Here is a 24,109-nt window from a genome sequence, read left to right on the forward strand (position 1 = left end):
ACACCAGCTCTATCCCACCTCTTGCTCCTCAGAGTTCAAGTATAAAAACGTGCTCATTTACGCCAGGCGCAGTGGCTCATGCCTATAAACCCAGCACTTCGGTAGGCTGAGGTGGGAGGATTGCTTGAGTCCCGGAGTTCGAGACCAGCCTGGACAACATGGCAAAAAAATGTCTATGAAAAAAATACAAAAATTAGCCAGGTGTGGTGGCAGGCGCCTGTAGTCCAAGCTACTCAGTAGGCTGAGGTGGGAGGATCACCTGAGCCCAGGGAGGCCAAGGCTTCAGTGAGCCATGATTGGGCCACTGCACTCCAGCCTAGGCAACACAGTGAGACTCTGTCACAAAAAAAAAAAAAAAAAAAGTACTCACTTAAAAACCAATTCACTTTTTTTTTTTTTTTTTTTTTTTTTGAGACTGAGTCTCACTCTGTTGCCCAGGCTGGAGTGCAGTAATGTGATCTTCGCTCACTGCCTCCACCTCCCGGGTTCAAGCTATTCTCCTGCCCCAGCCTCCTGAGTAGGTGAGATCACAGGCGCACACCACCATGCCCAAATAATTTTTGTATTTTTAGTAGAGACATGGTCTCACCATATTGACCAGGCTAGTCTTGAACTCCTGACCTCAAGTGTTCTGCCTGCCTCAGCCTCCCAAAGCGCTGGGATTACAGGGGTGAGCCACCATGTCTGGTCTAATTTTTGTATTTTTAGTAGAGACGGGGTTTCACCATGTTGGCCAGGTTGGTCTCAAACTCCTGGCCTCAAGTGGTCCACCCGCCTCAGCCTCCCAAAGTGCTGGGATTACAGGTATGAGCTATTGTGCCAGGCCAAACACCAATTCAACTAAACAAATAAATTTATATCCCCCAAGAGGGTCATCCCTATCATCTTTTTGCCTCCATTTAGAAATGAGCTGGGTATCAACTTTCTTCTTTTAAAAACAAAAGCTTTAATTAAAAATTTATAAACTTAAGGGAATGAAATTTCTCCCGGGGTCTTTGCGTCAGAAGTACCTAAAATACACAAGAAATTCCTGAGTTAACAAAAAATAACTATTTTGCTTTATATCCCTAATACAAATGGGAAAATGTATTCTAATCCTTCAGGATGACCCTAAACAAATTAAGGAATTGCAAATACTTTCACTTTTCTTACAAGTGACATAAAGACTCTATTAGAAGTATACAAGAAGCAGAAGAAAGCCATTAAAAAGTATTTAGTATGGCCAGGTGTGGTGGCTCACACCTATAATCCCAGCACTTTGGGAGGTCAAGGTCAGGACTGAGGTCAGCAGTTCAAGATGAGCCTGACCAACATGGTGAAACCCTGTCTCTCCAGAAATACAAAAATTAGCTAGGCATGGTGGCGGGTGCCTGTAGCCCCAGCTACTTGGGAGGCTGAAGCAGGAAAACTGCTTGAACCTGGGAGGCGGAGGTTGCGGTGAGCTGAGATAGCGCCACTGCACTCCAGCCTGGGGGACAAAACCAGACTCTGTCCCCAGCACCCAAAAAAAGTATTTAGGATAACCATTACTCAATGTATTAATCCACTTACAAGAATTCCTAATATCCCGAAGTAGGTCACTTTTGCCCAAACATTGGGTCTAACAATCACAACGCCCGTTCTCCGGACAGACTCAAAAACCACATGAGATGTTCCAGACAATCACGCTGCATTCAGTGGTGTCACAGAGCCAGATGTCTTAGGACAAGGGAGGGGACATTTACAGGTAACAGCCCAACATGAAGAGCAAACAACCCTTCCGCTTGTACCAGGTCATATTTTAACTTTTGAATTAACTTGCCCATCTAAATCAGGTCTTTCCACTGCCACTGTACAAGGGAGGAAGTCTTCTTTTACCCAGGTAATAAATATATTTTCAGTTCTTGTAAGCATTCCTCACAATGCAACTTACAGCTTAGTATTAATACTAGCCTGGCCGCCTCTCCTCTGGCTACAATTCAGTCAGATGGTGCCCCAAACTGAGCCCCATCCCCAGAGAACTGCCTATCACCTTCTTTCTCACTCTGGAATACTATGAGAGGTATTTCAATTAAACACAATGAGACCATCCTACATTTTGCTGGCCACAACTGGGAATGGCTTCTAAAAATGATAATACTGCCTGCCTGTCAGGCACTATTCTAAGAGCTCCACACATCTTCTCATTTAATTCTTATGAGATAGGTACTATTATTATTTACCGATGAAAAAACTGAGGCACTGAGGTCAATTACCTGTTCAAGATCACAGAGCCAGTAAGGAGTGGAGTGGGGATTCAAAGCCATGCAGTCCGTGCTTTTAGTGAGGTACTATGCTGCCTCCATACATGGGCACCCTTCCAGAAACTTCATAAACATCAACTCATTTTACCCTTACAACAATCCTATGATGATAATCCTGAGATTTTATAAAATCTCTGGAAATAATTTTTGCATCATCAAAAGAATCTAACTTAGAAGTCTGTATGTGGATTCTTTAAAAAAAAATCTATAGGTCATAGATACATAAGGAAACTACTGATTAGTCAAAACCTTAGATTTTTTTTTTTTTAAATTGAGACAAGAGTCTCGCTCTGTGAGCCAGGTTGGAGTGCAGTGGTGTGATCACAGCTCACTGCAGCCCCAACCTTCTGGGCTCAAGCAATCCTCCCTCGTCAGATTCCCGAGTAGCTGAAACTACAGGCATACACCACCATGCCCAGCTAATTTTTTAACTTTTTGTAGAGACGGGGTCTCACTATGTTGCCCAGGTTGGTCACGAACTACTGTACTCAAGCAATCTTCCTGCCTCAGCATCCCAAAGTGCTGGGATTACAGATGTGACCCACTGCTCCAGGCCCTTACATTCTATTTTGAATAAACTGAAATTCAAAGCATTGGGGGCTGCAATCATTGGACAAAGTGTGACCCTGACCTAAAAATCTGGAAGAGGCCCCTCCCCTAATCTTAAAAATATTAGAACCCTAATAAGAATACAAGACTAAAAATGTCCATTAATCATAGTTAATCTCATCTAGAACTTTTTTTTTTCCTCAGTTATCTACATTCTGGAGCTAAGTCTACTGGAAGTTATATACTATGCTGAGAAAAATACCCTTGGGTTGATCATATTCAGGTTAAAGGTTGCTGTATCCAATAAAGTTAAAAAAGGATGTTAAAATATTTTGGCTAAATTGTTTTTTATACCTCAATTTTTTCAACTATAAAATAAATCCAGGTGTTTTCCAAACACCACAGAGGTATTATCAGAAAAAAGGGGGGACAGGTTCCGCCACACCCCCCAACCACAGTATGAGTTTAGTGTATCCTTTCCACTTTCCTTAATGCTCATGCACATGGACTCATGCATTTTAATTTGTAGAAGACAGAGTCATACTCTACACAATACTCCACATATAGTGTTCACATAACCCATCAAGGCATGCTCCAGGCCAACACACCCAAGTCTAATTCATCCTCTCCAACAGCCACACATGGGAAGCATCTCCACTCATTCGACCAGATCCTTACTGATGGGTTCAAGCTTTTCCCAGTTCTTCATATGATAAGTGACGCCACAATCAACAATCTGATACATGTATTCCTGCTTAATCTGCTAGACTGCTCGTCAAAGGATATTAGTTTAAATCTGATAGAAGCCAAAATCTGTTCCCCAAAAAGTTGTAATTTTCACTCCCAAAACACTTTATGAGAAAGTCTACTTCGCTACACATTCACCAATGTTACCAACTGTTGCTAATCTGATGGGTGAAAAGGTAAATAGTTCCTCAGCAACTTTCTGTTGATGGGCCATTTGTATTCCTTACCTCTGAACTGGGAGGATACATCCTTTGACCATTTTTCTAGTGGGTTTTATTTTTTCCCATCAATTCTGTGAGCCTTTCTTATACCCTTAGTAATGTATATTGCAATTATTTTCTCGGTTTGTCTTTTGCCTTTATAGTATCATTTGTCCTGCAGAAATTTTAAATTTTTACATAGTCAAATTCACTTTTTTATGACTTTTTTCTTGTTCAACCCTGTAGTTTTACAATCTGTTTTCCTCTAATACCTTAACCTTTATGTTCAAATATTCTTCTTTTTTTTTTTTAATCGTAGAGACAGGGGTCTCACGAAGTTGTGCCAGGCTCTTCTCAAATTCCTGGCCTCAAGCCATCCTCCTGCCTTGTTCCCCCAAAGCGCTGGGATTACAAGTATGCGCCATCGAGCCCAGCCTCCAATTTTTTTAAAGTATTTTTAAGATGGTGTGGCCATCAAATATTTTATTTCCTCCTCAACAACTGACCATCAATTTTTAAAGTACTAGTGTAGCAACCAAATAAGTAAAAGAACCACCCTATAAAAGTGAAATCAAGTTACTGGCGAAGCAATTTTAAACCATGACACCTTCAACTGACATACATGGATTGTCAATATAAGCTGCCAATCTTAAAGACATCAGGTCGGCACTTTTATGGGTATGACATAGGAAAGTTCCATTTCTGCCTGATATGAACAAACACTTTTTTTTAGGTAAAATATATACATCTCTCCTTTAAAAAACTTGATTCATTCAGCAATTAAAACTTTTAAGGGCTTGGATGAAAACTACTAATTTAGCAAAATACCTGAAATATTTAGTGCATTCTATGTATTTTTCTAGATTATAAACATTTAAGAGGTTTAGGGGTGGGAACATTAGATGCAACGTTTAAAACAAAAATAAAAAGATCTAAACAAAATATTAATACATTTGATGTGATATAAGCAGTGTAGTATTCTCCCTTTGGACACTCAGTGCTTTCCCATAATTCATTTAAGACTGCGTTTTTCCACTTTTAAACAACTGTTAATGGCTCAGCCAGGCACAGTGGCTTACCACTGTAATCCCAGCACTCTGGGAGGGCCAAGGTGGGCAGAACACTTGAGCCCCAGGAGTTCGAGAGCAGCCTGGGCAACATGGCAAAGCCTTGTCTCTACAAAACATACAAAAATTAGCTGGCTGTGGTGGTGCGCACCTGTAGTCCCAGCTACCAAGGAGGCTGAGGTGGAAGAATCACCTGTGCCCACGGAGGTCGAGACTGCAGTGAGCTGTGTTTATGTCACTGCACTCCAGCCTGGGCGACACAATGAGGCTGTCTCAAAAATAATAACCCTGGCTAACATCTATAAAACACTATACATTCTACCCCACACTATGTGCAGCACCATACATACTGTACTAATTTGTACAGTAACAGTGGCAAGTGTCACCCCTTTTTACACATGTAGGAATAGCCACAGAAGGCACAGTTAGTAAGCGAAGAGCTGGATTCTAAACCAAGTAGTCTGGTTACACTTTCTGAACAACTTTTCTTGCGCTCTGGGAAAATAACGAGGTCTTTTATTGTTCACTGCATTAGAGATTTGTGGTACCCACATATCATGTGTGAGGGTCATGATGCACAGTTTAGACTCATTATTCCATTCACTTTAGCAATCAATATGATTTATTCAAAGTATGTTTTTTTTTTTTAAATCACAGTATTTTCACAAGTATGTGAAACCAGATTCTGTTCTTGTACAAACGATTTTAACCTGTCAAATCTCATCTTGTTGGTTGTAGCTAACAGCCTGCAATGATAACTATGGATCCCAATTGTCACTCATTTTAGTACTTATCCCTCTCAGCTTCCAATCATCTACAAATTCTGAGATCTTCTTCGTTTTAAAGCTATTTTTAAAAATACACTCAGCCAAGCAGGACCTGTTGACAATGTCAGTGCCCTCCTGGCAGATGGGGAGCAGCTGACCAATCCAATCTCAGGGTGGTCAGCAGTTTAAACACCATGCACCCCCTCTGCCACCCTTTCAGCTCAGTCAAGGTTGGAAACTGAGTTTGGAAAAAACGGCAACAGGATGTACCTTTCCCACTGTATCTGGCAAAAGGCTGCTAAGGTGCCAACCTATGAGATTCTGAGTTGCCAGGTTTTTTGTCAGTCAAGGGAGCCTGCTCCTGAGCAGAACCTAATTAATTGCAGGTAAAAAGCAATGGAGATTTTAAGACTCATAGGTTTACACGCACACTGGTGAATCCAAATGCTGTCCCAAATATATTCAGATAGAAATTATACTCCATTGACAAGAGAAAAAAGACTGCTACACAAATCCAATTTTTACCCACAGCTAAAACCGTGGTTATTTTGAAAATGAATGGCTGAGTCAAGTTCAAAGACTCCAGGACCAGTTACTGAGATGCTCTGTACCATCAGAACGGTCAGTGGGGGCAGGGCACGGTGGCTCACACCTGTAATCCCAGCAATTTGGGAGGCCGAGGCGGGCGGATCACCTGAGGTCAGGAGTTCAAGACCACCCTACCCAACATGGTGAAACCCCGTCTCTACTAAAAATATAAAAATTAGCCGGGTGTGGTGGTCGGCGCCTGTAATCTCAGCTAGTAGGGAGGCCTAGGCAGGAGAATTGTTTGAACCCGGAGGTTGCAGTGAGCTCAGATCTCACCATTGCACTCCAGCCTGGGCGACAAGAGTGAGACTCCGTCTCAAAAAGTAAAATAAAATAAAATGTTTTCTCGCCCAGAATTACTGCAAATCACAAGCCTGAACATCCTTGGAAGCTCAATTCAAACACTGCCTCCTTCCCCAGTCTCTCGGTGCCCGACAATCCCTCCTCAAGAGTCCTCAGCATTTCCCACAGTCATTAACTTTTGCCAGTTTTAATTACCGTAATTAGTACCCTTCAGAAAGCAGCTCTTAGAAAGCGAAGGCTGGGCCTTACTCACCTCCGTCTACCCTACAACAGCAGCTCCCAAACCACTGGTCTCCAGCCCCCGCTGGGTTGGCCTGGGGATTTAGTAACAGATTCGGAAACCCCACTCTCAGGGATTCGGATTTACTGGGGCTGAGGTGGGCCTGGAAATCTGAACGTCTTAAGTTTTCCAGGTTTTCTGCCCCCAAGTTAAATTTTGTAATAAGGCCCTAAACTACAACATCAAGCTGGAAGTCTTGCATATGAAATATTCACGCGTTTTGACAGATGAAACCCGGAGACTGTAACCCACAGGACGCAGGGATTAACACAGGCCCTGTTTCAAGCTGCTAGGATGCTGAGCTCAAACCACAGCCCACAGGGACTCCCACTGGCAGGGGCCAGCGCTTAGGAGATGAGCGGACCCCTTAACTTCAAGGAGAGGGGGAACTTCCCGTGGACCAGAAAAAAAAAAAAAAAACTACTGTTAATTATCACAAAATCACAGGATGACAGAGGAGGCATCCTGTCTTCCAGGCTTCAAAAACACGAAGGATTAAGATGGTGATTAATTCAATCTCCAGTGCAAATAAAAACGCCAAGCCCCTGAACTTGCACCGGCCCGGAACGCGGCCGTTCCACAGCCCGCGGGTGAAGTGCGGCCCGGAAGCCGCGGGCGGGCGACGCGCAAGGCAGCCCAGGCCGCGGGTGGAATCGGGGCGCGGGGGCCCGCGGTGCCGCCGGGCGTTCAGAGCCGGTCCCTCGGGTCGGCCCACGCGGTCGCGCCGGCGCCTTTCACCGCCACGCAGAGGGGCCGTGGCCACGACGGCTCGGCCCTTTCCTTCCTGCGTAGCGAAAATGGCGGAGCGGCCTCTCCGAGCTCCGCGAGCGACCGGGCCTCCGACAGGGCCGCCAGTGGGCCGGACGGGGCCTGGCCAGGCAGGAGCAGGCCCCGTGCAGCCCGCGCCGCCCGCCGCCTCCCAGCGCGGGCGCCGCCTCAGCCGCCCCGGGCCTCAGGCCGCCCCCATCCCGCCTGCTCTCCCTTCCCTGGCCGGCCCGGCGGCAACGCCGCTTACCGGCAGCCGGGCGCGGCGAGCGCTCGGGCTCCGGCAGGTCCCCGAAGAGGTCCATGGCGGAGGCTGGGTGGAGGCGGCAGCAGCGACAGACACTCAGCCCGCGAGCAGCGGCCGGGCTCCACACCCCGGGCGGGCGGCAGCAGCGGGCGGGCGACGGGCAGGGGCGGCCGGCGCCGTCAGTCACCTGCAGGGAGAGTCCCGGACGCCACCAATCGGCGCGCGGCGTGGCCCGGCCGCCCCAGAGGGCTGCGCGCGGGCTGGGCGGGGCGGCTGGGGGCGGGGCGGTGCGCATGCGCGTGGGCCCCTCCCGCGCCCCGACTGCGAGCCGGGCGGACGGCGCCGTCTGGGCCCCGCGGTGTTTCCCGCCTTGGCGAACCCCGGGCCCCTCCTGCTTTTCCTTGGCTGGGGGTGTCCGATTTCTGTCAAGTTTCGTTGAGTTCCTGTCCAAGAAGCCCTGTCCAGAGAGAAACGTCTGAGCTCAAGGGCAGCCCCTGATGCCTGGGAAGGCTTTCTGGAGCTCTTGCCATCTCTTCGGCTCGTCCTTTCACCACGGCGTGCCTGGTTTCTGGCCTGTTTTAGAGACTGAGAAACCGAGGCTTGGATGGAGCGGCCCTGGGCGTCAGGACGGAAACCTCAAAAGATGCCGGAGGGAAAGGAGGCATTCCCTGACTTGTCTGCACCCACTGGTGTCTGTGGGGAGCGGAGAAGAGGGGCTCCTCCTTAATGGTGTCCCCCTCCATGCCTGTAAAGAGAAAGGCGGCCACTGACATCGGGGAGCTGGCCTGGTTCTGCAGCCAGGACTTGGGGTTGGTCTGGCACAAACAGCTAGGCCTGGGTGTTCTCTTTGAATGTGAACAATTTCATAAAACACCAACATCAGGCCGTGATACAGATCAAGAGAAAAAAACAGACCACTGTGTAATCAAGTGTGAACACAGACAAAACAGGAACACTGTCCAAGCCACAAAAGTGACCACATTCCCCTCGTCTTGGCCAATAAGAGTGATTGCTGCTTCTTTACCATTACATGTTTAGCCTTTGTCTCGTCCTCCTGCCGTCTAGATAAGCTTCATCAAGATATCCAATCATGGAATCCTCCTCTTCCTGACATCCAATCCGGAGCAAAGGCCCGTTTCCATAAATGTTTCCCCAAATCAACTAACACAAACCCAAATCTTACACCTCCGTTCCAACATCGTTTACCCAAGTTCCCCAGGTTATGTGGTCTCCCTCCATGCAAAGAGTTTTCAGCCCAGTTCATTCTGGGGCAGATGTATTTCTGACGCTCTCTGGCTGTAGGACATGGAGGGAGCCCAACAAGGCTTCATGCCTCTCATCTGCGTGGCTTCTCACTAGCAACCGTTTGAGATATTCATGCTGCCTCCTCCATTACAGCAGAAACACTCAAGTAACAATGCTTGTAACCGTTAAAGAAAGAGGAAATAAATACAAAAAGCGGCTCAACATTAAAAGGTTTATTTCAGAGAATAAACCTGAGAGGGGATTCTGGCCAATTTCGATCAGGAGCGCTCTCTCTTACAGACTAAGCATTCTCTCTTACAGACTAAGGATATTTAAGGGTTTTGGAAGTGGGGGAACGTTTATTGCAGGGTTGGAATGTCTCTGGTCGGAGGGGAGGCTATTGGAGGAGAGGTTATTTCAGGGTTAGCATGTTTCTGGTTGAAGAGAGGTTTATCTTAGGGTTGGAATATTTCTGGTTATGCTGACATTAGCCGTTAGGCTGATGTTTTGGGGTAGGATTTAGGTGGTTTTTTAATCAAGGGGAACTTAGAAAGGTGGTGTTTGTCCAAGATGGCAATGCTCCTGCTCTATCAATCCAGTCTCTATAGTTATGAAAAGGACAAGGGGCAGCGCATTTTTTCTGGCTACTTCCTGCTGGGGGAGTGAGCAGAGAGTTCTTTGGTTTCAGATTGATTGTAGGAGTAACGCTGTCTGTAGATGTTTTTGGGTAATTGTCTGTGAGATGGCCATGATCCTGCTGGTTAAAAATCTTTGAAAAAGGTGGCCAGGCGCGGTGGCTCACGCGTGTAATCCCAGCACTTTGGGAGGCCAAGGCGGGTGGGTCACGAGGTCAGGAGATCGAGACCATCCTGGCTAACATGGTGAAACCCCGTCTCTACTAAAAATACAAAAAAAAAAAAAAAATAGCCAGGCATGGTGGCGGGTGCCTGTAGTCCCAGCTACTTGGGAGGCTGAGGCAGGAGAATGGTGTGAACCCAGGAGGCGGAGCTTGCAGTGAGCCGAGATCTCGCCACTGCACTCCAGCCTGGGCGACTGAGCAAGACTCCGTCTCAAAAAAATAAAAAAAACTTAGAAAAAGGTTAATTAAGCAGGGTAAGAACATTATTCCTAGGCATATTTTTAGGAGAGAGCCCAGGAATGGGATGACCCATATTAGGACTTTGTTTTTAAACCAGTAATTTATTTGGTTGTCTTGTTATTCTCTTAGCTTTTTAGCCCTTTCTTTAAGTTTTTTAGCAGCGTCTCTTACTAGGCCCAACTGATTGAGATAGAAGCAACATTTTTTACCGAATGAGAGGCAGAGGTCCCCTCTTTCAGTTGTTATAACATCTAATTCCTGTCTATTTTGGAGGACTACTCCAGCCAAGGAGTCTACTCCAGCCAAGGAGTCTAGTTGGCCTTGGACTCTTATAAGGCTTTGGGCCATATGCTCTAATGAACTCTGCAGTTCTGTTGAAAGAGATTTCAAGTATGTTAAGCAGGTGGCGAATCAGCCTGCTCCCAACCCAAGCCCGGAGGTTATACCTAAGGCAGCCATTAAAGGAATGACGTGGATGGCTCTCCTCTTCCTAACATATTGGATGGATGGAACGGGTAAAGATTGATTAGGAGGAACTAGTCCAATGGAGGGAGAAAGATAAACTAGGGTACAGGTTCTGGTCTGGTTGATGGGGAGACAAAGAAATATGTGTTGAGACCACACAAAAAGAACAAGCCTTTATTGTAAATACAAGCAGAGATATGGACAGAAAATAAGTGAATTAAAGATGAGGTGTTTGTTCTTTCCTGTGGTTCATTACTCCAGGTGGACAAGGAGGAGGCCTGGGAGACACCTACTATACTAGAGGTATAGGAAGAGTTATTTTTTACAGATTTAATGCGGTCGGATGCTGCACTATTGATATTGAGCCAAGGAAAATTGTGGGCACTAGGAGCAGCACAGGTTAGGCTGGAGGCATTGGCTGAGGGAAAGGCTGTCAAACGAGCCAGCTGCAGAAATGCTCCGTTCGCTTCAGGTGATACTTGGTAGTTAGCCTGGTTAGTTTGATGGTCAGAGGGGTGTTTAACAATGATAGTGTGGTTGCATAGGTTAGATGTTAAGGACCCTACAGGGAAATTTCCCTCCGAGGCTGAAAAGCAAAGTGAGGCTCATTATAAGAGGAGGAGTGTGTTTAGTTATGGGCCCTTCAATGGGAGGGCCGTGGGGCTTAAGGCGCTGTAGGGAGTTATCCTAGGTTTGAAATAATTTGTTGGCCTGATCGGCCCTGGAAGTGGGATAATCACCGACTAGAGTGTCAGCTCTTTCAAAAAAGGAAGCTCCTTTTTGGAGTTTATAAATTAGGGTTGTGTTTCCTGTTAAAAGGTCATGAAGGAATGTAGGAAGGGCTGTGTAAGCTAAGGAAGACAGCGATAAACACACCCAGCATTCCAGAGCAAAGGAAGAGTTAGCTTGCCGCAAGAGAGATTGTGTAAGGTTTATAGAGCGTTCTAGTTTGAGAGCAGTGAGGAGTGGTTGTATTGATGAGGTTGATGTGATTAGGGAATTTATATTGAAAGAAACAAGCAAAAAGCGAAAAAAGTTATTTGGGTAGGAGTAAAGTCCTGGAAAGTTCCTTGAAGCCATAGGTCCCATAGAGCAGTAACGAGCTGATCAGGATGTATAATGGGAGCTTCCTAAGGGCACCACTGAAGGTCTGTAACAAGGTTAGTTAGGAAGTGATGAAAGTTTGGGAGAGAAAGAGACATAAGCGGCTTATGTGGATTTCTCCTCCTTTTCCTCAGGGATTTGGGTGAGGCGAAGAGAAGTGGGTCCTGGGAGACACGAGAGAAGGCCGAAGGGGTTTCAGACTTGGTTGTTTGGGTATGTGGTGAAGGGAAGTCTGTTTTCTTGAGAGAAGTACAATGAAACCAGCTGGGGAGTCCCTGGAGTTTCGGTGCTGTGGGTGTGGTAAGGATGATCTGGTAAGGTCCCTTCCACTTAGGTGTGAAGCAGGAATTGAGGGTAGGACTGGGGTATTTTACCAGAACCCAGTCTCCTGGCTGTAGGGAGGGATTAAAGGAGTCGGTGATGGGTTGTGGCAGGTATTTGTCAGCATATTCCTAAATGAAATGGCAGATGGTATGTACAAGAGGGGAAATGAGAGGGATTGGTGGAGGTGGGGCTTGACCCTGAGGTGGAGCAGAGGGGCAAATGGTCTCCCATACATGAGTTCAAAGGTGCTGAGCGTTAGAAGTTTACATTGGAGCACCCGAATTTTTAGAAGGGCTAAAGGCAAAAGTGTAACCCAGTCTTTATGTGTTTGGTGTGAGTACCTGGTGAGGGTGTTTTTGTAGAATGCCATTCATTTCTTCAACCTTTCCTGAAGATTGAGGTCGAGAGGGGAGGTGCAACTTCCAGGTGATTTGTAGGGCTTGTGCAAGTGTTTGAATAATTTGAGAAATGAATTCAGGGCCATTATCAGATTGAAAAGAAAGAGGCACCCCGAACCTGGGGATGATTTCTGTTATTAATTTGGAGAGTAGGAGCTCGTTTGTTGGTTGTGGGAAAGGCCTCGACCCGTACCAAAAAGGTATCAACCAGAACTAAAAGAAATCAAACCCTTTTTACTGGGGGCATGTGGGTAAAACCAATTTGCCAGTCCTGTTCTGGAAGGTGTCCCTTGGATTGATGGGTTAGAAAAGAAGAGGGTCTAGTGTTGAAGTGGGGTGAAGCTTTTTTGCAAACAGAGCATTGATGGGAAATGGCTTTTAACTGTTCCTTTATGTCTGGGGTTATGTATATATGGGAACTTAAGAAATGCTGTAGAGGGGAATGGCTAGTGTGGAAGAGGTTGTGAATGTCCCATAGAAGAAATTGTTTTTTCAGGGTCAAGTAGGACTAATTTGTTTTGTATGAACCAGTATGGGGGTTTAAATTGTCTGCCCCTACTGTGATTGGTTGTTGTGTTTGGTGTTCTGGATAAAAGGAGGGCATATGTTGTGTGAGGGGAAATAAGTATTGGGGAATTGGGTCGTTGGCTGAGGCGTGTTTGGCCCAATAGTCAGCCTCATGGTTCCCTAAAGGAATGTGGCTTTTGTCTGATTGATGTCCTTTGCAATGGATAACCACAACCTTTTCTGGAAGTATAGCTGCCTTTAATAGATGATGGATGAGTTTTCCATTAATGATAGGGGTTCCCTTAGCTATGAGATAGCCCTGCTCACTCAAAATTTGGGCATTGGAATGGATAACGTTACAGGCATATTTAGAATCAGTGTATATATTCACTTGTGTGTTTTCTGCTAGAGTTAGTGCTCTTATTAGGGCAACTAATTCTGCTTGTTGGGAGGATGTGCCCAAAGGCAAGGGGGCAGCCTCTATGGCTTTCTAGGTGGGAGAGAGTGGGTATCATCATGATATCCTTTCAATGATGGCATATCCTGCTTAGAGGGGAGAGTGTTTTGATGTGCTCCCATCTATAAACCAATCTGGGTCTCCTTTTATGTGAGTGCAAGTAAGGCGGTGATACATAGAGAACTTCCAGTTAGATCAGAGCATGAGTGTTGGTCGGGGTCTAAAATTGGTGTTGAAGGTAAAGAGTGGCGGGGTTAGTCAGGGAGCATCTATGAAGAGATATAGAGGGTTGAAGGAGAGTTGAAAGTAGGGCTTGCCTGCGAGAGGATGAGCTGGAGGTGAGCACCTTGTGGCTGAGCATATCTTGTAGACTGTGAGAAGAAAATACCTGAAGAGGTTCATAAAACATGAGATTTTGTGCCTCAGGAATAATTATTGCTGCTGTTGTGACCAAAATGTTTAAGCAAGGGGGCCAGGTTTTATAAATGGGGTCTAGTTGTTTTGAAAATATACCACTGGTTGGAGGGAGTTTGCCATGAGTTGGGCTAATAGACCAAGGGCCTGATTATGAGAACTGTGTAAATACAGATTAAAAGGTCTTAGGGGGTTTGGAAGGCCTAAAGTGGGGGCCTGTAATAACACACGTTTTAGGTGAGAGAAAGCATGATAAAGATCTGGGGTGGGAGTGAGGAGTTGGTCAAGATTTTCTTTTGTGTGTTCATAAAGGGATATAGCAACAATGGCAAAATTTGCTATCCATATTTGGAAATATCCCACTAATCCGAAGAAGGAAAGTAAGTCCCTTTTTGTTTTAGGAAATGGGATTTGTTGAACACCTTGCTTTCGTGCTGACAGAATTTGGAGTTATGATAAGTCCTGGGTATGAAATTTTTGAACTTTTCTTTTGGATACCCAGTACCCACATTCAGCCAAAAAATGTAAAAGCTTGGTGATGTGTTGAATACAGTATTCTAGGGAGGGGGTGCAAAAGAGTAAATCCACATATTGAAGCAAAATGCTGGGTTGTAGAGGTAGTTGGGAGAGGTCTAATTGAAGTGCCTGACCGAAATAGTGAGGGCTGTCCCTAAACCCCTGGGGGAGGACAGTCCAGGCGAGTTGTTGGGAGTAGCCTGTGTCAGGATCAGCCCAAGTGAAAGCAAAAAGGTTTTGAGAGAAGGGATGTACAGGGATAGTAAGAAAGGCATCTTTGAGGTCTAATACAGAGGAGTGGCTAGTGTTGGGAGGAATTCGTGATAGGAGGGTGTAGGGGTTTGGGACAACGGGACAAACAGGAATAATAGCGGAGTTGATTTGTCACAAATCCTGGACCAGTCTATAGGAGCTGTCTGGTTTTTTAACTGGAAGAATAGGAGTATTGTGGGGAGAATGGGTGGGGATTAAAATACTGGCACCCAAAATCAGGATATGATGGGCTTGAGTCCCTGCAATCCATCAGGGTTGAGGGGACAATGTTGGAAACACTATATAGTGCTTAGGATTCTTCAATGAAATTTGGGTTGGAGAATGGTGGGTAGCTATTATGGGGAAGTCAGCGTTCCATATGATGGGGTTTACATGGCTGAGAAATTTGAGATTTAAGTCTGTTTGATGTGGAGTGTCTGAGGAGGGCTTCTGTTCTTGACATAATAATAAATAAGGGTGTCTTTGGTGTAGGGCCGATAAATGAATGATTCCCCCTGTTTGTGTAGAATATCCCTTCCTAATAAGGGAGTGGGACAGTGAGGAATGACCAAAATAGAGTGAGTGAGGATGACTCCCTGAAATGAGCAGTATAGAGGCGGTGTTTTATATGGGGTTTCTTGTATGCCCTTCATACCAACACAGAAATGGATGAACGTTCTAACGGGCCTTGATAGTCAGTTAATACCAATAGGCTAGCCCCAGTATCCAAAAGAAAGGAAATAATCTTACCAGATACAGTCCCAATTACCCTCTGGGTTCTGTGGACTCACTAGACATGGGGGCAAAGAATCCTGGGTACCTTCAGTCCTCTGCTGTCAGCACCAGCAGTGAAGAGATTTCCTCCTGTGGATGGCTGGGGGACTTCATTATGAGCCACACCGAATGGGGAAGGTGTCCCCATTGGGGGCAGTCCATTTTCCAGTGTCCCCAAAGACCACAAGTTGAGCATGGCTTGGTGGAGGGCTGGGGGTTAGGACAAGCCTTTGCCCAGTGTCCAGGGTTGCCACATCGGAAACAGACTCCCAAAAAGGTGGCAGAGTTTCCTTTTGGGTTATCGGGAGGCTTTTGTGTGATTGACTTTTGGACAGCAGAGGTGAGCATCTGGTATTTTAAATGGAGATGCTTGTCTTTTTGAATTTTTGGTTCCTCATCTCTGTTGTTAAAGACACAGAAGGCTGCATTTAGGAGGTCCCACCGAGATGTCTGGGGACCCTCTAGTTTTTGTAATTTTTTTTCTGGATATCTGGGAAATAAATTGGAGGTAGAAAAAGTTTGACCTTCTCTAGATTCTGGGTCCAAATTGGTATATTTTAGCATAGCTTCAGTGAGGCGTGATAAGAAGAGGGCAGGATTTTCCTGGGGCTCTTGTGTAATTTAACTTTTTCTTTTTTTTCTTTCTTTTTTTTTTTTTTTTTGAGACAGAGTCTCACTCTGTTGCCCAGGCTAGAGTGCAGTGGCGTGATCTCAGCTCACTGCAACCTATGCCTCCCGAGTTCAAATGATTCTCTTGCCTCAGCCTCCTGAGTACCTGGAATTACAGGTGCCCGCCACCATGCCCAGCTAATTTTTGTATTTTTAGTAGAGATGGGATTTTTTGCCATGTTGGCGAGGCTGGTCTCAAACTCCTGACCTCAAGTGATCCACCTGTCTCAGCCTCCCAAAATGCTGGGATTATAGGTGTGAGCCACTGCACCCAGCCTCAAAAAACCAACTTTTTACCTCATTGATCTTTTGTATTGTCTTCTTCATTCCAATTTCATTTCTTCCTGTTCTGATCTTTATTGTTTCCTTTCTTGTACTAACTTTGGCTTTTGTTTGCTCTTGCTTTTCTTTAAGATGCATCACTAGGTTCTTTATTTGAAGTCTTTCTTCCTTCCTTTCTTTCTTTCCTTTCCTTTTTTTTTTTTTTTTTTTTGACAGAGTCTCACTCTGTCGCCAGGCTGGAGTGCAGTGGCGCGATCTCGGCTCACTGCGAGCTCCGCCTCCTGGGTTCACAACATTCTCCTGCCTCAGCCTCCCAAATAGCTGGGACTACAGGCACCCGCCACCGCGCCCAGCTAATTTTTTGTATTTTTAGTAGAGACAGGGTTTCACCGTGGTCTCGATCTCCTAACCTCGTGATCCACCCGCCTCGGCCTCCCAAAGTGCTAGGATTACAGGCGTGAGCCTCTTTCTTTCTTTCTGTGCCCAGCCTCTTTCTTTCTTTCTTTCTTTGAGACAGAGTCTTGCTCTGTCGCCCAGGCTGGAGTGCAGTGGCATGATCTTGGCTCACTGCAGTCTCCATCTCCCAGGTTCAAGCAATTCTTGTGCCTCAGTCTCCCAGGTAGCTGGGATTACAGGTGGCTACCATCATGCCTGGCTTTTTTTTGTATTTTTAGTAGTGATGGGGTTTTACTGTGTTGGTCAGGCTGGTCTTGAACTCCTGACCTCAAGTGATCCACCCGCCTTGGCCTCCCAATGTTCTGGGATTATAGGCATGAGCCACTGGCCCCAGCTTGAAGTTTTTCTTCTTTCTTAGTGAAGGCACTTATAACTATAAAATTCCCTCTTGGTACTGCTTTTGCTGTATCCTATAGGTTTTGGTATGTTGTATTTCCACTATCATTTCTTTCAAGATATTTTTCAATTTCCTTCTTAATCACATCATTGATCCACTGGTCATTCAGGAGCATATTGTTTAATTTCCATGTGTTTGTCTAGTTTCCAGAATTCCTCTTGTTATTGATTTCTAGTTTTATTCCCTTGGGGTCAAAGAAGATACTTGACATTACTTCAATTTCTTTGACTGCTTTAATTCTTGTTTTGTGGCCTAACATGTGATCTATCCTTGAGAATGATCCATGTGCTGAGGAGAAGAATATATTCTGAAACTGTTGGATTAAATTCTCTATAAATATCTATTAGGTCCATTTGGTCTGTAGTGCAGATTAAGTGTGATGTTTCTTTGTTGATTTTCTCTTCAGATGATCTGTCCAATGCTGAAAGTGGGGTGTTGAAGTCTCCATCTGTTGTTTTTTTTTATTTTTTATTTATTTTTATTTTTTGAGATGGAGTTTTGCTCTTGTTGCCCAGGCTGGAGTGCAGTGCTGTGATCTTGGCTCACTGCAACCTCCGCCTCCTGAGTTCAAGCAATTCTCCTGCCTCAGCCTCCCGAGTAGCTGGGATTACAGACATGTGCCACCACGCCCAGATAACTTTGTATTTTTAGTAGAGATGGGGTTTCACCCTGTTGGTCCAGCTGGTCTCAAACTCCTGACCTGAGGTGATCTGCCTGCCTCAGCCTCCCAAAGTGCTGGGATTACAGGTGTGAGCCACCATGCCCAGCCTCCAGCTGTTATTGTATTGCAATCTATCACTGTCCTTAGCACTAATAATGTTTGGTTTATAGATCTGCATGCTGCAGTGTTGGGTACATATATATTTACAATTGCTATATCCTCTTGCTGAGTTGACCCCTTTATCATTATATAGTGATGTTGTCTCTTTTTATAGTTTTTGTCTTGCAATCCGTCTTATCTAAGTATCACTACTCCTGCTCTTTTTTCAGTTCCATGCATATCTGTTTCCATCCTTTTATTTTCAGTCTATGTGTGTCTTTATAGGTGAATAGTGTTTTATGTAGGCAACAGACCATTTGGTCTTGTTTTTTAATCCATTCAGCCACTCTATGTCTTTTGATTGGAGTGTTTAGTCTATTTACATTCAATGTTATTATTGATAAGTAAGGACATACTCCTGCCATTTTGTTGTGTTCTAGCTGCTTTTGGTTTTCTCTTCCTTCTTTCCCTCCTTCCTGTCTCCCCCACACCCTTTTTTGGAGACAGTCTTGCTCTGTTTTCCAGACTGGAGTGCAGTGGTGCAGTCATGGCTCACTGCAGCCTTGACCTCTTGGGCTCAAGTGACCCTCCTGTCTCAACCACCTGAGTAGCTGGGACTACAGGTGTGTGATATCACATCTGACTAATTTTTTTATTTTTCCGTAGAGATGGGCTCTTGCTTTGTTGTCCAGGCTAGTCTTGAACTCTTGGACTCAGGCAGTCCTCCCACTCTGGCCTCCAAAATGCTGGAATTACAGGCATGAGCCAACACACCCAGCCCTGTCTTCCTTTTATTACCAGTGAGTTTTGTGCCTTCAGATGATTTTTTATTGCTCATTACTGTTCTTTTCTTTCAACAAAAGGGATTGATGAACTCTCTTTAGCATTTCTTGTAGGACTGGTCTGATGTTGATGAAATACCTCAGCTTTTCTTTGTCTGGGAAAGTCTTTATTTCTCCTTCGTGTTTGAAGGATATTTTCACCAGATTTACTATTCTAGGGTAAAAGGTTGTTTTTTTGTTTTGTTTTGTTTTTTTCTTCAGTACTTTAAATATACCATGCCACTCTCTCCTGGCCTGTAAGGTTTCCACTGAAAAGTCTGCTGCCGGACATGTTGGAGATTCATTGTATGTTGTTTGTTTTCTTTTATCTTGCTGTTTTTAGGATCATTTCTTTATCCTTGATCTTTGGGAGTTTGATTATTAAATGCCTTGAGGTAGTCTACTTTGGGTTAAATCTTCTTAGTGTTCTATAACCTTCTTATACTTGAATATTGATATCTTTCTCTAGTTTTGGGAATTTCTCTGTTATTATCCCTTTGAATAAGCTTTCTACTCCTATCTCTCTCTCTACCTCCTCTTTAAGGACAATAACTCTGACATTTGCCCTTTTGAGGCTATTTTCTAGATCTTTAAGGCATTCTTCATTCTGTTTCGTTCTTTTTTCTTTTGTCTCCTCTGACTGTATTTTCAAATAGCTTGTATTCAAGCTCACGAATTCTTTCTTCTGCTTTATCAGTTCTGCTATTAAGAGACTCTGATACCTTCTTCAGTATGTCAACTGTATTTTTCAACTCCAGAATTTCTGCTTCTTTTTAATTGTTTCAACTTCTCTGTTAAATTTATCTGATAGGATTCTGAATTCATTTTCTGTGTTATCCTGAATTTCTTTGAGTTTCCTAAAAAATGGCTATTTTGAATTATCTGTCTGAAAGCTTACATATGTCTGTCTTTCCGGGATTGGTCTATGGTGCCTTTTTAGTTCGTTTAGTGAGGTCATGTTTTCCTGGATGGTCTTGATGCTTATGGATGTTCATCAGTGTCTAGGCATTGAATAGTTAGGTATTTATTGTAGTCTTCGCATTCTGGGTTTGTTTGTACCTGTCCTTCTTGGGGAGGCTTTCCAGGTATTTGATGAGACTTAGGTGTTGTGATCTATGTTTTTGGTCACTGCAGCTGTAGCTGCATTAGGTACTACTCCAAGCCCAGTAACACTGTGGTTCTTGCAGACTCGTAGAGGATCTAAGATCTGGAGGAATTCCCTGGATTACCAGGTAGAGACTCTTGTTCCCTTCCCTTACTTTTTCCCAAACAAACAAAGTCTCTCACTCTGTGTTGAGATGCCTGGAGCTGGGGAAAGGTAACACAAACACCCCTGTGGCCACCACCACTGGGAGTGTACTGGGTCAGACCTGAAGCCGGCACAGCACTGGTTCTTGCCCGATGCCTGCTATAACTGCTACCTAGCTACCATCTGTGTTCACTCAAGGCCCTAGGGCTCTATGATCAGCAGGTGGCAATGCAAGCCAGGCTTGTGTCCTTACCTTGAGATTGCAAATTCCCCCAGGCCCCAGGTGAGTCCTGGGATCCAGGGTCTGGAAGCAGAAACCATAGAAATCTACTGTTGCTCTATACTACTGCAGCTGAGCTGGTGCCAAAACCACCAAACAAAGTCCTTCCCACTCTTCCCCAGGCAGAGGAGTCTCTTCTTATGTCCACCACCACCACAGGCCCACAGAGGGTACTGCCGTTGATGTTTATTTAAGGCCCAAGGGCTCTTCAGTTAGCTTGTGGTGAATGCTGCCAGCCCTGGAACTCATCCTTCAGGAAGTGGGCTCCCCTCTGGCCCAGGGTAGGTCCAGAGATGCCATCTCAAGCCAAGGCCTAGAATCAGGGACCCCAAGAGCCTGCTTGGTGCTCTTCCCCATTGTAGCTGAACTGGTACCTAAGTTCAAGAGAAAGTCCCCTTTACTCTTCCCTCTGCTTTTCTCAAGCAGTAGGGGGCCCTCCTCATAGCCACCACAGCTGTGAATGTCCTGGTCACAGCTGAAACCAGCATGTCTCAGAGTCTCACTCAAGGCCCATGGCTGTACTACCTGGTTACCACTGCTGATTATTCAGATTCCAAGGGCTCTTTCATCAGCAGATGATGAATCCTGCCAAGACTGGGTCCTTCCCTTCAAGGCAGTGAGTTCCCTTCTGGCCCAGGGTGTGTCTAGAAATGTCATCCGGGAGCTAGGGCCTGGAATGAGGGCCTCATGACTCTGCCTGGTGCCCTATCCTACTGTGGCTGAGCTGGTATCCAAGTTGCAAGACAAAGTCCTTTTTAGTCTTTCCTCTCCTCTCCTCAAGCAGAACAAAGGGGTCTTTTTTGGAGTTGTGAGTTGTGCTGCCTGGGGTTGGGGGAGGGGTGATGCAAGCACTCCCTTAGCTGCACCATCTGGTGTCTCACTAGGCTGTGTGTCCCCCATGTCCACTGGCTCTCAGCCCAGCACAGCAGTAGGACTTGCCTAGGAGTTACAGTCCTTGTAACCTAGACTGCCTTTAAGTTTATTTAGGATCCCATAGCACTTCAGCCCGCAGTGGCAAGGCTTGCTGAGTCTCAAGTTCCAACTGCTGGGATGAGTGATTCCCCTCTGGTCAAGGCTTGTTTAATTGCTCCCTCCATGGTTGCCAGCTGAGTTCTGCCCAGTGTTGGCAGCACTGCGTGCCAGTGCAAAGTCCCACAATCACTGTGTTCTCTCCCCTCCAAGGGCACAGATTGTCTCTCCATGCTACATGGCCAGCTATTTCTGGGGGCACTGGCCAGGGGGGTTGTTGGCAATTCAAGACTGTCTTTCCTACCCTTTTCCTTGCCTCTTTCAGTGATACGAGGTTAGAACCAGGTACTGTGATTGCTCACCTGATTCCTGATTTTTGCTTCTTATGGGGGATACTTCTCTGTGTAGATAGTTGCAGAATTTGGCATTCCTGTGGAGAGAATGATGGGTGGAGGCTTCTATTTGGCCATCATGCTCCACCTCCCCAACCAACATCTGACTACAACCTCCTGAGTGACCTCAAGGAAGGCCTGCCCAGCTAAGCCCTTTGTGAATTCCTGACCTACAAAACCACGAGAAAAAAAAGAAAACAAAAACAAAAACAAAAAAAAAACAAAGCACCCTTGCTTTTTTGAAGCTGCTAAATTTGGAGGTAATTTGTTACACAATAGTAACTGGAAGAGAAATTTGGTACCCAGAGTGGGTACATCAAAGACTCAAAACAGGCTGGGCATGGTGACTCACGCCTGTAATCCCAACACTTTGGGAGGCCAAGGTTAGTGGACTGCTTGAGCCCAGGAGTTTGAGACTTGCCTAGGCAACACAGTGAGACCCCCATCTCTATAAAACTAAAAACATCAGCCAGCATGGTGGTGCATGCTGTGTTCCTAGCTACTGAGGAGGCTGAGATGGGAGGTTTGCTTGAACCCAGGAGGTTGAGACTATAGGTAGCCATGATCACACCACTGCACTCTAGCTTGGGCAGCAGAATGAGATCTTGCCTAAAAAACAAAACAAAACAAAAAAAACCCAACCCAAAACATATGGTATTGTCTTTGGGACTGGGCATCAGGCAAAGGCTGGAATGGCCTTGAGAAGACTGTTAGTGGAACCTCGACGGGCCTCGAGGTTGTTGATGAGTGCTTAAAAAGAGAGACGAAAATGTTATTGAAAGATTGAGGCCGGGCGCGGTGGCTCACACCTGTAATCCCAGCACTTTGGGAGGCTGAGGTGGGTGGATCACAAGGTCAGGAGTTTGAGAGCAGCCTGACCAACATGGTGAAACCCCATCTCTACTAAAAATACAAAAATTAGCCGGGCGTGGTGGTGGGTGCCTGTAATTCCAGCTACTTGGGAGGCTGAGGCAGGAGAATTACTTGAACCTGGGAGGCAGAGGTTGCAGCAAGCTGAGATTGCAATCTTAGCTCATTGCAACCTCCGCCTCCCAGGTTCAAGAGATTCTTCGGCCTCAGCCTCCCAAGTAGCTGGGACTACAGGCACCCACCACCATGGCCAGCTAATTTTTGTATTTTTAGTACAGACAGGGTTTCACCATACTGGCCAGGCTGGTCTTGAACTCCTGACCTCAAGTGATCCACCCGCCTTGGCCTCCCAAAGTGCTGGGATTACAGGCGTGAGCCACCGCACCCAGCCCATTTTCAATTCTTTTGGGTATATACCTAGGAGTGGAATTTCTGGGTCATATGATAATTCTATGTGTAGTGTTTTGAAGAACCACTAAACTGTTTTCCATAGTGACTACACCATTTTTCATTCCCACCAACTGGCTTCTGTATTTTTTTCTTTTACTCTCAGTACACACCAGAGATTTCTGTATTTTTGATACAAAATTTTATGTACACCTACTTGTTAAATATTATAATTCATATTAAGTTAATTAATGTAAATCAATATTATAATTTCCACAATGAAATACTATATTAAAATATATTTTAAATTCATACTAAAAGTTTTTAGATAAATATGGTATTGAGACTGGGCATGGTTACTCACGTCTGTAATCCCAGCACTTGGGAAGCCAAGACAGGCAGATAACTTGAGCTCCCGAGTTATCTGCCCACCAGGCTGGGCAACGTGGAGAAACCCCAGCTCTACCAAAAAAATACAAAAATTAGCCAGACATGGTGGCATGCACCTGTAGTCCCAGCTACTTGGGAGGCTGAGGTGGAAGGATTGCTTGAGCCTGGGAGGTGGAGGTTTCAGTATCTAAAAAGCCAAGTGGCTGAATGCAGTGGCTCATGTCTGTAATGCCAGTACTTTGAGAGGCCAAGGCAGGAGGATTGCTTGAGGCCAAGAGTTGGAGACCAGCCTGGACAAGATTCTCTCAACAAAATAATTTTTTAAAATAAAAATAAATAAGAAATAAAAGCCAAGAGGTACAATGTTCAGGAGAAGAATAAAAATACTTGCAGAAATATATAAAAATTATAGGAAACAACTATAAGTTTGGCTAGAAATACAGTATTTTGGCTACTGAAAATGACTGAGTCCTCTAATGTTGATATTATCAGAACAGAGTTGTTATCAAAGTCAGCTAACTAAAGGATCTGCTTCAAAACATTAAAGAGAAATTTTACAAGTTTCAGTAACTAGCGAACATAAGTTTGAGCAAAAAAGTGAGAAGATGCCAGCCAGGCACAGTGGCTCATGCCTGTAATCCCAGCACTTTGGGAGGCCAAGGCAGGCGGATCACCTGAGGTCAGGAGTTCAAGACCAACCTGGCCAACATGGTGAAACCCCATCTCTACTAAAAACACAAAAATTAGCTGGGTGTGGTGGCACATGCCTGTAATCCCAGCTACTCAGGAGGCTGAGGCAGGAGAACTGCTTGAACCCGGGAGGCGGAGGTTGCAGTG

The 24,109-nt window shown here is 45.3% G+C and overlaps 1 protein-coding gene across 2 annotated transcripts in view, besides 6 other annotated features; it reads right to left on the minus strand.

Annotated features, from left to right (window-relative positions):
- The window catches only part of ILKAP (ILK associated serine/threonine phosphatase), a 33,294-nt gene extending 25,299 nt beyond the window's left edge, over positions 1–7,995 (minus strand). For both annotated transcript variants that reach the window (XR_007082537.1, NM_030768.3), the window contains exon 1: positions 7,799–7,995. Coding sequence is in view for 1 of the 2 variants with exons in the window: in NM_030768.3 (NP_110395.1) it covers positions 7,799–7,853 (55 nt within the window). In the remaining variant the exon portion in view is untranslated. The remainder of the gene's footprint in view (positions 1–7,798) is intronic.
- Positions 6,982–7,041: an enhancer, noted in NCBI's record as "active region_17379". NCBI's record gives its function as "activates an Ori minimal core promoter by ATAC-STARR-seq in GM12878 lymphoblastoid cells {active_cell/tissue: GM12878}" and the evidence as "EXISTENCE:reporter gene assay evidence [ECO:0000049][PMID:35858748]".
- Positions 7,412–7,501: a silencer, noted in NCBI's record as "silent region_12488". NCBI's record gives its function as "represses an Ori minimal core promoter by ATAC-STARR-seq in GM12878 lymphoblastoid cells {active_cell/tissue: GM12878}" and the evidence as "EXISTENCE:reporter gene assay evidence [ECO:0000049][PMID:35858748]".
- Positions 7,622–8,191: a silencer, noted in NCBI's record as "silent region_12489". NCBI's record gives its function as "represses an Ori minimal core promoter by ATAC-STARR-seq in GM12878 lymphoblastoid cells {active_cell/tissue: GM12878}" and the evidence as "EXISTENCE:reporter gene assay evidence [ECO:0000049][PMID:35858748]".
- Positions 7,622–8,876: a biological region, named in NCBI's record as "H3K27ac-H3K4me1 hESC enhancer GRCh37_chr2:239112345-239113217".
- Positions 8,004–8,876: an enhancer, noted in NCBI's record as "H3K27ac-H3K4me1 hESC enhancer chr2:239112345-239113217 (GRCh37/hg19 assembly coordinates)". NCBI's record gives its function as "activates a minimal SCP1, AML or CMV promoter by ChIP-STARR-seq in naive and primed H9 embryonic stem cells {active_cell/tissue: H9 hESC(naive and primed)}" and the evidence as "EXISTENCE:reporter gene assay evidence [ECO:0000049][PMID:30033119]".
- Positions 20,517–20,769: a silencer, noted in NCBI's record as "fragment chr2:239124858-239125110 (GRCh37/hg19 assembly coordinates)". NCBI's record gives its function as "represses an EF-1alpha promoter that drives an FKBP-Casp9 reporter gene in an ReSE screen in HepG2 liver carcinoma cells {active_cell/tissue: HepG2}" and the evidence as "EXISTENCE:reporter gene assay evidence [ECO:0000049][PMID:32094911]".

Source organism: Homo sapiens, chromosome 2 (genome assembly GCF_000001405.40).
Source record: "Homo sapiens chromosome 2, GRCh38.p14 Primary Assembly".
Taxonomy (NCBI): domain Eukaryota; kingdom Metazoa; phylum Chordata; class Mammalia; order Primates; family Hominidae; genus Homo; species Homo sapiens.